Source organism: Homo sapiens, chromosome 1, assembly GCF_000001405.40.
Source record: "Homo sapiens chromosome 1, GRCh38.p14 Primary Assembly".
Taxonomy (NCBI): Eukaryota; Metazoa; Chordata; class Mammalia; order Primates; family Hominidae; genus Homo; species Homo sapiens.
The window spans coordinates 167,751,028-167,764,836 of NC_000001.11; the positions used below are offsets into that span (position 1 = coordinate 167,751,028).

The 13,809-nt window shown below is 41.0% G+C and overlaps 1 protein-coding gene across 4 annotated transcripts in view, besides 1 other annotated feature; it reads left to right on the forward strand.

Moving 5' to 3' along the window:
• The window catches only part of MPZL1 (myelin protein zero like 1), a 69,938-nt gene that overhangs the window by 29,046 nt on the left and 27,083 nt on the right, over positions 1-13,809 (forward strand). The gene's annotated exons all lie outside the window — the stretch shown is intronic.
• Positions 2,055-2,174: an enhancer, noted in NCBI's record as "active region_2053". NCBI's record gives its function as "activates an Ori minimal core promoter by ATAC-STARR-seq in GM12878 lymphoblastoid cells {active_cell/tissue: GM12878}" and the evidence as "EXISTENCE:reporter gene assay evidence [ECO:0000049][PMID:35858748]".

A 13,809-nucleotide genomic window follows, 5' to 3' on the forward strand; every position in this document is an offset into this window, starting at 1 on the left:
TACCTGATCTAAGGAGAAAGGTGCTGCTTATTTGTTCCACTGCTGGTGATGTTGACTTTGATCCTTGGTTAAGGTGTTGTCTGCCATGTTTCTCCACTCTAAAGTAACTATTTTTTTCCCCTTTGTAATTAATAACTATCTTATGGGTAATTCTTTGAAACTAGGCAACTATCATGTTTCTCCTTAAACTTTCACTCACCATATTATCTTTTTATGAAGACAGAAGGAAAATAATACATTTTAGTAAGAGTCCCATCAAAATGGTTGTGATGTTTAAAAAAATAACTTCAAGGAACATGGAGTAGTCATTTGACAGATATAATCATGTAGAATTACTTACTATCAGAAATTAAATGTATGCGCCGGGCGCGGTGGCTCACGTCTGTAATCCCAGCACTTTGGGAGGCTGAGGTGGGCGGATCACTTGAGGTCAGGAGTTCGAGACCATCCTGGCCAACATGGTGAAACCCCATCTCTACTAAAGATACAAAAAATTAGCCGGGCGTGGTGGCTCGCGCCTGTAATCCCAGCTACTCAGGAGGCTGAGGCAGGAGAATCGCTTGAACCTAGGAGGCAGAGGTTGCAGTGAGCCGAGATGGCACCATTGCACTCCAGCCTGGGCGACAGGACGAGACTCCATCTCAAAAAAAAAAAAAAAAGAAAAGAAATTAAATGTATGCAATACTTAGTTTTTAAAAATATCCCTCACATATCTAAAGTCAATTTGCAGGTTTATACATGTAAAAATAATTTCATTTGTTAGTAGTATTGTTTTTGAAAGATTTAGAGATGAGTCACTCATGGAAATTTTTCTATTTTTCCAGTATTGGAGGCAGAATGAAACTAACAAAAATCCTTTGGGGAAAAAATTATTCCAATAAATTTTCCAGTAATTATTCCAAATGTCTCTTCTTTTCCTCCCTTTTTTGTGTATCTTTACAACTCAACCAAAAAGTCCACTGTTACTATATCAAGCCTGCTTAAGAATCCTCCGTGATGCCCACTTCCTACAGGATCAAGTTCCAGCTCATCTGAATTCAGACTACCTTTTCATCTTAAAACTTTTCCTCTATTCCAGCCAAATTCATCTTCATAATTCATCTTTAAACATCATCTCATGTTTTTCTGTCTCTGCAAAATGCCCTTTCAATCTATTTTGAGTCTTCTCAGTATACCAGATAAAATTCAAGTGCATCTTTCATAAAATATTCCCTGACCTCTTCATTTTTCAAATTTTGACTTTAATTAGCTACATATAGTCTATTTGCTACTTCAGGGGGATGGTTTAGTAGGAACTTACCTTAGGGAAGATAAGGTGGCATAAATAACAATAAGATACAGACCAGGCAGTGCTGACTCCCTGCTTGGAGGGCCATTTTCCCATGCCCTGCACTGTGCCATACCCTGCACACTGTAGGACACAAAGTTTGTTGTACACATTCTTGTGTATATTTCCATGTACAGTATCTAATGAGACTCATCCCACTCAGAACTTAGGACTTATTATATATTCAATAAATGAATTGTTCAGTTGATACTGTCTTTTAAAAATTCTGATAAAGCCAGCATCTCAATAGGAAGCAGGGGCAGATGTTTCCATTCCTCCCTCATATTTTACTTTCTGTTCAAGGGTGAGTGTTTACACTTTGAACTCTTTCTGGCAGTGATGAATCAGTGCTGATTAATCAATACTCTTTTGCCAGATTTTTCTAGGAGCCAGAGAGAGCTTGACTGGGGTCAGGCATCCATTTAAGGGCAGGTTGGTTTCCTTATTTTAGGAAAAAAAATAGTGCTTATATGTTTCATTAATCATAACTTCACTTTACAGGAATCCAAAAAATTTAGTGTTATCTGTTCACTCCTTTTGAAGTGTTCTTTGAGAGCTCTCTGACCACCAGGAAGTGTAGTAGGTGCTAGGCACACTGAAGCCAAGTAAGGTGTAGTTCCATGGCTCAAGGAGTTGTGAGTCTAACAGGGGAGCTGAAGTTAATTGCAAGGGAGATTGTGCTTTTCACTGAAAGGTGTGTCTTCGGTAGACTACAGCCATAGAGTCGTGTGAGAATTACTGAAGAGTGTGGCAGAAGAAAAGGTGGTAAGATCAGGGAGGGCTTTACCAAAGTCACGTTCAGGTGGAGTCTTGAAATTCTGTAAGCTTTCAGAGGTGGGCCTTGTTCCAAGCTGTGTGAGTATAGCCCTGAGGTAAGCTGGCTGCGTGGCATGTTGAAGGAAGTGAGAGCAAGCTGATACCAGCTCGCCACCAACAGCCTTTGCCAAATGTAAAGCAGGAAAAGGAGGGTTACTTTGAAAAGCCTAGTGTGCCATGCTGAGAATGATGGACTTTATGAAGCAATGGAGGAGCTTTTAAATGTGTTTTCAATAAGAAATTGTCATGGACAAATCAGCATTGAATTCAGATCTCATTAAAAACGTGTCCAAAGGATAACTCGACAGTAAACATATCTCGAAAGTACCCATGGCTGTAAAAAAGGCGAAGTATTTCTTTCTCCATTTAATTTACCCTCCCCTGGGTGATTGGTTTGTGGTTAGGCCGTTTGTCCAGCTGCAGCAGACTGGTTTTACACCCTGAAGTAAACTTGAATTTCTTTTTTTTTTTTTGAGACGGAGTCTCGCTCTGTCACCCAGGCTGGATGGAGTGCAGCGGTGCGATCTCGGCTCACTGCAACCTCCGCCTCCCAGGTTTAAGCGATTCTCCTACCTCAGTCTCCCAGGTAGCTGGGATTACAGGTGCCCGCCATCACGCCGGGCTAATTTTCGTATTTTTAGTAGAGATGGGATTTCACCATGTTGGCCAGGTTGGTCTCGAACTCCTGACCTCAGGTGATCCACCTGCCTCAGCTTCCCAAAGTGTTGGGATTACAGGTGTGAGCCACTGCGCCTGGCCTTTGAATTTCTTAAAACCAAGCAGAACAGTGATTTTCAAGCTCTCTTCATTAGATTCTAGCAGCTGGAGTTTATTTATTTATTTATTTGAGACAGTCTCACTCTGTTGCCCAGGCTGGAGTGCAGTGGCGTGATCTCCGTTCGCTGCAACCTCTGCCTCCTGGGCTCAAGCAATCCTCCCCGCTCAGCCTCCCAAGTAGCTGAGATTACAGGTGTGCGCCATGAGGCTCAGCTAATTTTTTTTATTTTTGGTAGAGATGGGGTTTCACCATGTTGCCCAGGCTGGTCTTGAACTCCTGAGCTCAAGCGATCCACCCACCTCAGCCTCCCAAAGTGCTGGGATTATAGGCGTGAGCCACTGCACCTGGCACAGCTGCATTTTAGAGCTTCCAAATGCTTAGTGCGTATTTCATTTGTTTCCAAAGTACATTTTAAACCATTAAAATCACAATAAAAAATAGCACACACACTTGTGGGTGGTTATATGAATAATTCGTGGACTTTGGACACCAATGTCCTGTTAACTCAGGCTGCCAGTGCAGTCTTCAGAATAAAGTAGATTTTTGTAATTTCTCTGCCGACATGTAAACTTATACAAGTGTGTTATTGATTAAGAAGCTGAGTAGAGCACTGCCCTGGTATTTTGAAAAGTTCAGGTTCATGCATGTGCACTAATAATGTATTTTACAAGTGAACATACCTATACCTACAGTCAATCAAATGCCAGGCAAGGTGTGGCTCGTCTGCTTCAGGCATGGTCTTATTGTATAATAGCATCGTAAGTGAAGTCCCAACATCTCATTTGTATGCTGGGTAGTAATTACATGTTTCAAATCACCTGGGGGCCTTTTAAAAATCCTGATACCCAGGCCATACCCCTTACCAATTAAATCAGAATTCCTGGAGGTAGGGGTGGGACCCAGGCATTAGTATTCTTTTAAGAGTTAGACTGTTTAGAGCAGTTATGGTTTACAGCAAAATAGAGCAGAAGGTACAGATTTCCCATCTGTCTCCTCCATGGCCTCTCCTATTATTGGTATCCCCCACCAGAGTGATACATTGTTACAGTTGGTGAACCTACAGTAACACATCATTATCACCCAAAGACCATTATATTTACGTTAGGGTTCCTTCTTTCTGTTGTACGTTGTATGGGTTTCAACAGATGTACAATGACATATATCTATTATTATAATATCATATAGAGTAATTTAGTATTTTTCAGTAGTTTCAGTAGGCATCAGTATTTTTAAATTTTTAAAAATTTTTTGCTGTATTTTGGAGGAGAGGAATATATTCTTATTGCCATCGACCGTAGGCGTATTCTTTCCAATCTCTTGTTCTGTCCTTCTAGTAATAATTGTATTGGCTTTTCTGGTTTCAGTTAAATTTTGGTTCACATATCTTCAAACATACTATAAACCTGATAAGATTTGAGAGCCCAGAAAGATAAGTTTAAGGTACAGTGGTCTTTTTCCTGAAGAGCAATTTTAATATGCCATTTCAGCACCTGGGAAGTGTAAAATATGTGAGAGTGTTATTTTCTTATCTATCAGATATGCCTCCAGAGCTTTCAACATGTTCTTTATGTTAAGCATTTTAGTCCCCTGTACTCTAGCAGAAGTAAAATCTGATTTTTCCTACCAAAAGTTCCTTATTTTCATCTGCTTGCTAAGAACCAAGAAATGTTTGGATGCTTTATGCAGATGATACAATTCAAACTAACTGCAACTGGGGCATTTGTGTTGCCTGCTTCATGTTTTGAGCCTTTAGTATTTAATGGAAGCCCTGCGCTGTGGAAAGTCTCCTAATAGCACTTTGTGCATCCCAGGGGCCAGCCACGGTGCTTCTGCAGCCGCACTGTAGATGTTTGTTTATTTGTCTCCACTAGGCTGTCCAGTACATTTAGAGGCTGAGTCTCAGTGTGTGTTTGAAAGAATGAATGGTTGATTGAAGAAAGGAGACCATTTGCAGGAGAGAGAGAGAGATGAACAGTACATATATAGAGGAGGGCAAGAAGAAATCCCAGGGCTTTAGAGTCAAGTGATTAGTTCAGTGACTGGCCTGATTCAGGACCCTTTGAGCATTTCTCATTTGAGAAACAGAAAGATCTTTGTTGGTACAAAAAAGGTTAAGGATAGATATGTGGCCAGCTGGACATCGATCATGAGCGGAAGGAATTGACTCCGAGAGGGATTTGGTAATCTTGTGTGTTAGTAAAAGTACATGGATTTTTTTTTTTTACAGTCTCACTCTGTCACACAGGCTGGAGTGTAGTGGCACAATCACAGTTCACTGCAGCCTCAACCTCCCAGGCCCAGGCAGTCCTCCTATCTCAGCCCCCTGAGTAGCTGAGATCACAGGTTTGAGCCACTATGCCCAGCTAATATTTTTTTGTCAAGACGAGGGCTGGTCTTGAAACTCCAGGGCTCAAGCCATCCTCCTGCCTCAGCCTCCCAAAATGCTGGGATTACAGGCATGAGCCACCTTGTCTGGCCAGATTTTTTTTTTTTTTTTTTTTTTTTTGGTAATCAAATATTTCAAAAGGTGAGTCTCCTTTGGGGTGATTCTCTCACACAGAAAGATGATTCTTGGAGGAAACATATCTAAGCATCCTCCAAGGTAGTGTCAGCATTCAAAGTTGATCCTGAATTATCTCTGCAGACACTTTTTGTGTTGGGCATTATGCTGAAGCCATTTGTTGTAGAGCAAGTTGATTTTTATGGCTGAGCTTATCTGAATTTAGTTTGATATATTGTATTCTTTATTTATTCATTCATTGATTCACTGATTCATTCATTTTTCCTGACATTCAAACAAATGTTTCTTGAACACATTGTGAAAGGGCCAGGCATTTGTCAGGTAATGAGGGTATAATGGTAAACAAGGTAGACACAGCCCTTTGCCCTCTTGGGGGTGCAGACAGCCGGTCATTTAAGTGGGGTGTGAGGAGAGCATTTACAAGGAAAGGACAGGATGTCGGGGAGCACAGGGTGGGGAGTGTGGGGCAGACGCTAGGAGGAAGTCCCTTGAGATTAAGGCCTGAAGCATAACTTTAGACAAAGAGTGCAGAAGAGTGTGTTCCTGACTAATGAAAAGCTTAGTTTATTAATACTTAGGGCTTGTTGAATGGAGGATACTTTTGCAGCCTTCCCCTACTTTGTGCCATCCAGCCAAGAGAGGTCCACAATAGCAGCCCTGATTCGCGGGAGGAAAGAGCCCACTTCAGCTGCAGGGTGGCCCTGTTCCCAGGAGAGATTTGAGTCTGACCCCACAGTGGCAGCAAGGCAGCTCTGTGCCTGTGTTATCTCCACCAGCACACGTCATTGAGTCAGCTTTACTTTATCCAGCCTGATTGTAGAAGTCATAGTAGACACTGTGAGGGAATCGTGTGGAATTTTCACTGGAGCATTCTGAAACTTAAAAAGTAAATCTTTTATTGCTTTACTAATGTCTTCCTGTGTCTGTCTTTTTAAAAATTTTTATTGTAAAAAGTAAAATATATACCAAAGAGTGTATGTGTGTACAGTTTACACTATCAGTATTAAAATGGGCACCCATGTACTCATGACCAGCCTAGGAAATAAAACATTACCAATAGTGTGTACCTTTCACATCCTGCCTCCTCCACCCTGTCCCAGTTGTAACTACTACCCTGAATTTGTATTTAGTGTTCTCTTTTGTTCCTCTCTTCTAGTATGTTTTAAAAGGTCATATTTATGCTTATTAGGAGATATTACAGTATCAGACTCTTGCTGTGTACCAACAAAGAACAAGAGATAGGTCAGAACGCTGTTTAAATAAATTGCTTGATTGTACTCTTTTAAGCAGGAGTTTATAGTGGTAACATCAAAGTGCTTAAAAAAATTCAAAACAAAAGCCTTTTTCAGTTTCAAGGAAAACCTTAACAAGGTGTGTTAAAAAGATAAGGTTTTTAGAGGTTGGGTGAGGTGGCTCACACCTTTAGTCCCAGCACTTTGGGAGGCCAAGGCAGGTGGATCACTTGAGGTCAGGAGTTCAAGACCAGCCTGACCAACATGGTAAAACCCTGTCTCTACTTAAAAAAAATAGAAAAATTATCTAGGCATGGTGGCACGCCCCTGTGGTCCCAGCTATTCAGGAGGCTGAGGCCAGAGAATCACTTGAACCCAGAAGGTGGAGGTTGCAGTGAGTTGAGATCGCTCCACTGCACTCCAGCCTGGGCAACAGAGCAAGATTCTTGTCTCAAAAAAAAAAAAAAAAGATAAGGTTTTTACAAACCAGTATGCTATAAATGGACCCAGTAGTAACATGACATTGAATTGCTTCAACCAGTAACAGCTTCAAGATCCCTGCCTATGTTCCCTGCTGTGAACGTGTTTATTTGTTCCTAATAATACTGCCACAGTGTATTTCAAATTATTTTATGGTATGAGAGTTTGAATTTACTTGGAGTAAGATCATCTCGGCATGTAGTTGGGAGACATTATTTACTCTATTGTTTCAGTAATTCAGAATATTGAAATAGGTCAGTCATGTCAGGAAATAGACTCTTAGGTGAACCATTCTTGAATTTGCCTTTTTCTTTGTGATTGTGATGGATATTGTTTTGTTTTCTATCTTTGCTTTTTTTTTTCTTTCTGAAATGTTCTGGTTGTCCATCCAAATTGTAAGAATATTACATTTTGAATATCCTTTGATTATTGTAAAAATGACCCCTAGTCAGATGATTCCACAGACTTTTTGATTACTTGTCAAATGACTTTGCGGGCTTTTTTCATTTGAATTGATTTCCTATTTTAAGGGTCAGTGTCACTTCATTGCTAAATGATACCTTTGAGCAACATGGTACATTTTAGAAACCTTATTCTCCAGAGTACTCTAAGAGAAGGGTTGTTTGGATTTTATTTGTTTATATTCTTGCCCTTTAAACTCTAGCATAACTCAGCAGGATTCGGTACTCCTTATAGAACCGTTCCCCAGAGAGAAAGTAAGCTCAGCTCTCATTTCCATGTTGAAGTTTGTATGCAAGTTTACATGGAGCTCAGAATCCAAAGTTGGCAGGATATGAAAATGTTTGTATATCATTTAATCTATTTTATTTCATTTCATTTCTGTGTTTTTATTCCCAAAGCAATTGGTTTTATTCAGGAATCAACAGACTTTTTTAAATCCATCTATAAGTTTTTGAACCAAAGCTTTACTACATTTCACAGCCATTTTTGCCACTATGCCATAATTATAAATCCTTGGCCTCAAAGAAACCTATTTAATATCTTATTCAGATTGAGATTCTAGTCTTCAGTGACATGGAATGTAGATTAGAACAATAGTTTCTGTATATCTCAATGGTCTTTACATTTGCATTTTTAGCCATTTTAACTAGCCCCTAAAAACTCTCTTTTATGACTCTGTGGATGAGCTATCTGAATTCAACAATAATTTTACTATGTATTCCCATAATACTCCTAGTCATTTAAAAAAAGGCAGGGGAATGGACAAAGCAAATCATTCCCAATTGTTTAAGAAACCAGTGAACTCATCCCTTGCTTGGACTGCATAGAATACAGCCTGAGAGGGAAACCTGTGATTTAGTTTCTCTCTTTACCCACACAGGAGAACACTTCTGACAAGATGCCATTCGTGCTCACCGTAGTTGGTCAGAAACTGCGGCTCTGTGCTTGGCAAAAGTTAATTTGGATTTTAGATGCTGTGTGCAAGGAAACCATGTGCAGTTTTAAGCAAGGATCTTCACTGAAATTTCTCGCTGCAATCAACTACGCAGAGTGCCCAGCTCTCAGCATTTGACACAGTTGGCCACTCTTCCCTTGTCTCTCATGGCATCGTGATTTCCTGGGATACCTTTGGTCTCTTTGTCCATAGCATTCTCTATCTGGGGTACACTCACAATAGGCAGAGGAAAAACATGGTAACCAGGGTGGCTGCTGCAACATATTTGAGGGGGTCAGGGTAGGCAATGAGGTCCGAGAGGTAGCCAGGAGTTAGCTCATGTAGGACTTTGTAGGCCACTTGAGGACTGGCCTGATCTGGCTGATGGGAAACCCATAGAGGATTTTGAGTAGAAGAGTGATATGATCCAACCTGAATTTTAATGAGATCTCTTTGGCCTCTCTGTGGACTAGTTGCTGTGAAGTGGGGAAGGCTGAAGGAGGCAGACACCAATTAGGAAGCTATCAATACTTAATCCAGGTGAAAGATGACAGTGGCTTGGACCAAGATGGTGACACCAAATGAGGCAGAGAGAGATCAATTTCTAGATAGGTTTCTTTTGTTTTGTTTTGTTTTGTTTTTTGAGACAGAGTCTCGCTCTGTCACCCCGCCCAGAGTGTAGTGGTGTGATCTCAGCTCACTGCAAGCTCCGCCTCCCGGGTTCACGCCATTCTCCTGCCTCAGCCTTCCGATTAGCTGGTACTACAGGCGCCCGCCACCACACCAGCTAATTCTTTTGTATTTTTAGTAGAGACGGGGTTTCACCATGTTAGCCAGGATGGTCTTGATCTCCTGACCTCGGTGTTCCGCCCACTTTGGCCTCCCAAAGTGCTGGGATTACAAACGTGAGCCACCGCACCCGGCCCCTCTAGATAGGTTTCTAAGTAGAGATGACATGTGTAGCTGACAGCTTGGAGGAAAGTTGTGCAAAAGAGAGGAGTCACAAAACAGTCCAGGGTTTTGGTCTCAGCCACTAGAAAACTGGTGTTACCATTTACTGATTTGGAGAAGACCATGGAAAGGAAGTTTGGGGGGTGGGAATCAGGAGTTTAATTTGGACATATTAAATTTGAGATGATGCCAATTACATCCAAGCAAAGTTGAATAGGCTGTGTGTGTGTGTGTGTGTGTGTGTGTGTGTGTGTGTGTGTGTGTGTACAGGTGTCATCAGCATTTGAAACTGAGTGAGGTCACCAAGAGAAGGAATGTTAAATAGATACGCAGTCAGAGAAATGATCTGGGCTCTTAATCATATAGAGGTCAGGAGAACCAGGGAAGGAGCAGTCAATGAGATAAGAGAATCAAGAGGGAGAGGCATTCCAAAAGCCAAACTGTTAAAAAACAAAAAAAAAGGTTTTAGCAGGGAGTAACTTTCAAAGGTTTTAGATAGGGCAATAAGACAAGATTTGAGAATTAACCATGGAGGTCATTGCATTCCTTAACAAAAACAGTTTCTATGGAGTAACGGAGATGAAAGCCTAAATTGGATTTATCCAAGAGAACAGAAGAGGAGAGAAATTGGACACAGTGTGTACAGACAGTTCTTTCAAGATTGATAAAATAAAGGAGGACAAAGGGGCCAGAGCTGCAGGGAGATGCAGGGTCAAGGTTTTTTTTCTCTAAACCTGGGATATAAATATAAATATGTATGTTTATATTGCTGCTGGTGGTAATTCAGTAGTGAGTGAAAAATTCAGAAGAGGGAGAATTGCTGGATCAATAAATGTCCTTAGGTAGGCAAGAGATGAGATGCAATGTGCAGTGGAGAGGTTCATCCTGGAGAGGGATGCAGACAGACACTTTCTACATAGGAGTGCAGGGAAAGCAGAATGGGCACAGATGCAGGGAGGTGGGTAGCTATGGTGTCTGGACATAGGGAGGTTCTCTTCTCATTGCTTCTGTTTTCTCGGTGAAATAAGCAGCTCAGTCATTAGCTGGGAGTGAGAAACCAGAGGAAGTGGAAATTTGAGGTTAGAGAGGAAGGTTTAAACTAGTCCTCTAGGGAAATGGAAAGCAGATGGATTAGGGCAATGTGGGTGGATTGCTAGACAGCATTAAGAGTCCCTTTAAGGTTAGTGACCATACATTTAAGGCGAAAATAGTCAGTGGGATTGTGTGCTTTTGTCCAGCTGTGGTCAGCCACCCTGGTGGAGATGCATAGTGGATAGAGAATTGAATTTAACCAGGATAGAGGTTCCAGGTGAAGGCCCTGAAGGGAGAGGCAAGAGAGCTGATTGTGTATGCAAGGGGGTGAGTATAATGGTGGCCTATGGGGTTTAGTCTGAGTAAGGCAAATGAAGACATGCTGGGATTTTAGTTTCTGATGCAGCTTAGGGATCAGTGAACTCAGGGTTTTGGAGGATATTGGAAAGCTAAGAGGTGGTCAATTAGGGAGTAGAGAAGCCTGAAACTACGATTCTGGAGTGGGTGCAGGTACTGATGATTGGGTCTAGAGCTAGTGATTCTCAACTGGGGGGATTTCACCTCTGAGGAGGCATTTGCAATGTCTGGAGACATTTTTGGTTGTCACAACTGGAGGCAGAGGAGATACTGCTGTCATCTAGTAGAGGCCAGGGGTGCTGCTCAACATCCTACAAGGTATAGCACAGTTTCCCACAACAAAGGATTGTCTGTGGCAGTTGTCAGTAGTGCTGAGGTTGAGAAGCCCTGGTTTAGGGTATAAAAGAAAAACTTCAGCTGAATTAAATTTAAAGGAGTTTAACTGAACAAAGAATGAACTGCGAATTGGGCAGCCTTCTGAGCCAAGGTAGGCTCAGAGACGCCAGCGCAGCCACGTGGCGGAAGAAGATTTATGGACAGAAAAAGGAAAGTGATGTACAGAAAACGGGAGTGAGGTACAGAAACAGCTGCATTGATTATAGCTCAGCATTTGCCTTACTTGAACACAATTTGAACAGTTGGCTACATTTGATTGGCCAAAACTCGGTGCTTGGCCCAAGGTGATTGGCTACGGCCTGTTTACACCTACACTTGTTATAGTTCACAGTGTACAGAAAAACCCTTAGGCTGAACTTAAAATATGTAAGGAGGCAGCTTTAGGCTAAACTTGATTGAACAGGTATGACCATAGAAATGAGTGGCTGGGGTAGGCCTGATCTTACCCAGATTATTGGAGAAGATAAACAGACTAGGGTTTTAGAAGGTTTATCTTACAACTGATGAAATCTCCAAAAATGATGACAAGAGTAGTATTAGAGAAAAGTGTAGATAGCCAGGGATGGGAGGAAGTTAATTTCTCAGTGTGTGGCATCATTTTCTTTTTCTTGAGCTAGCTGATGGGCTAGCTTTGGATTTCATAATCCTGGCTAAGAGCTACACGTTCAGATTAGCCAAAGAGTGTTGTGTGTTTTTTAAAAAGCCACCTGTTTATTACCTAACTTTGGTATAATGAAATCTGTGTCTTAAATAGATGCCTAAAAGCCATTTGGGAATTTGGTTAGTCTTTTTGCTCAAAATTCTGTGACTGTAAACTTGGACACTTGGTCTAATTCCATCTTTAAATAATGTCTCGGGATGACAAGTCTTGCAGCTAGGCCTCGAGGAAGGGATCTGGTTTAAGAAAATCCTTGAAGAAGGCTGGGTGCGGTGGCTCACGCCTGTAATCCCAGCACTTTGGGGGGGCCGGGGCTGGTGAATCACCTGAGGTCAGGAGTTCGAGACCAGCCTGGGCAACATGGTGAAACCCCGTCTCTACTAAAAATACAAAAATTAGCTGGGCGTCGTGGTGGGTGTCTGTAATCCCAGCTACTCGGGAGGCTGAGGCAGGAGAATTGCTTGAACCCAGGAGGCGGAGGTTGCAACACTGCACTCCAGCCTGAGTGACAAGATTGAGACTCGGTCTCAAAAAAAAAAAAAAGAAAGAAAGAAAAGAAAATCCTTGAGAAACTTTATTTATAGACTTTTAGAGACTGTGGCTTTCCAGTACTCATCACCATGGAGAAAACTAGTCAAAATCACACAGAGTGAATAAGGGTTGCAAGCCAGTGCTGCTTCCTGGAATAAGCTGGTCCACTAGTCTAGTCTTGTGCTTTGTCCTTCATTTTGAACTCAAGTGCCCTGGGGCTGCTTTTCTGCGTACCCACAATAGCAAGGAACTCTTTTGTTTGCATCTCCTCTGAAAGAAATGCTTGTTTTGAGGTTTGGACCGCAAATAATAATCTATTGTTCCCTGTAATAATAATCCACCCTCTTTCGCAGAAAAAAAAATCTGCTTGATGCAGTATGGCTATCAGTTTATTTAAAAGAATAGCCAAAAGTGCCCATTATGTCCTGAGAATAAACATTTGCAAGATGGTTGGGAGGAATGGGGGAGTACTCTTGTTCTCCTTGGCTGAGAGTCAGTTAAGTCTTCAAGGAGAAAAAATTCTGAAAATGACCATCAGTCCTGGCTGACAATACTCTTCCTTATTCTGCCCGTCTGTTACATTCTAAGAATTATTGCAACACTGCAGATATTTATTCCAAACGATTTCTTTAAAAAATATGGAAGATGGGTATTTTTAAGTTACCAATTTTGGGCCAAATAAGTTTTTTTTTTCTGACTTTCATTTTGTCTGTGAAAGCATTTCTTTTATAGCAGTATGTTCAAATTAGCAATCTTTAAGAATTTGGCAAATACTTTTAACAGCAATCCTTAACAATTCCTGCAGTTGCCTACTATTGCAGATCTTGAAAAAAGAGCCATTTTTATATTCTAAGTGGTAGACACATTTCAATTACTATTTCCTGGGCTTAGGCTAACTGACAAAACTTGATGGGTGAAATGAAAATGTGATATACGGTGTAATCAGCTGTTTACTTACCTAGCACAGTGAAATCTTATGGTAGGTATGATTGCACTAACAAAACCAAAACATGCATTTTTCTTCCTTAAGTTCTTTATAAGAAAAGGATCAGTTAAATAATAAATGTGGCTTTAAAATGAAGTTATATCTTAGGATAGTTTTAATTGCATTACATATGGATGATGAGAAAAGTTCAGTGTGATAACAATTGCGTAACAGATAAGCATGAGAACTACTTAAAGAAATAAAAATATGCCCATCACCTCATTAAAAATAGACCATCAGGGAAGCCACCAAGAAGTCCTTCAGTAGGTGAATGAATAAACTGTGGTACATCCATACAATTTGTATATTATTCAGCAATAAAAAGAAATGAGATATTATGCCACAAAAA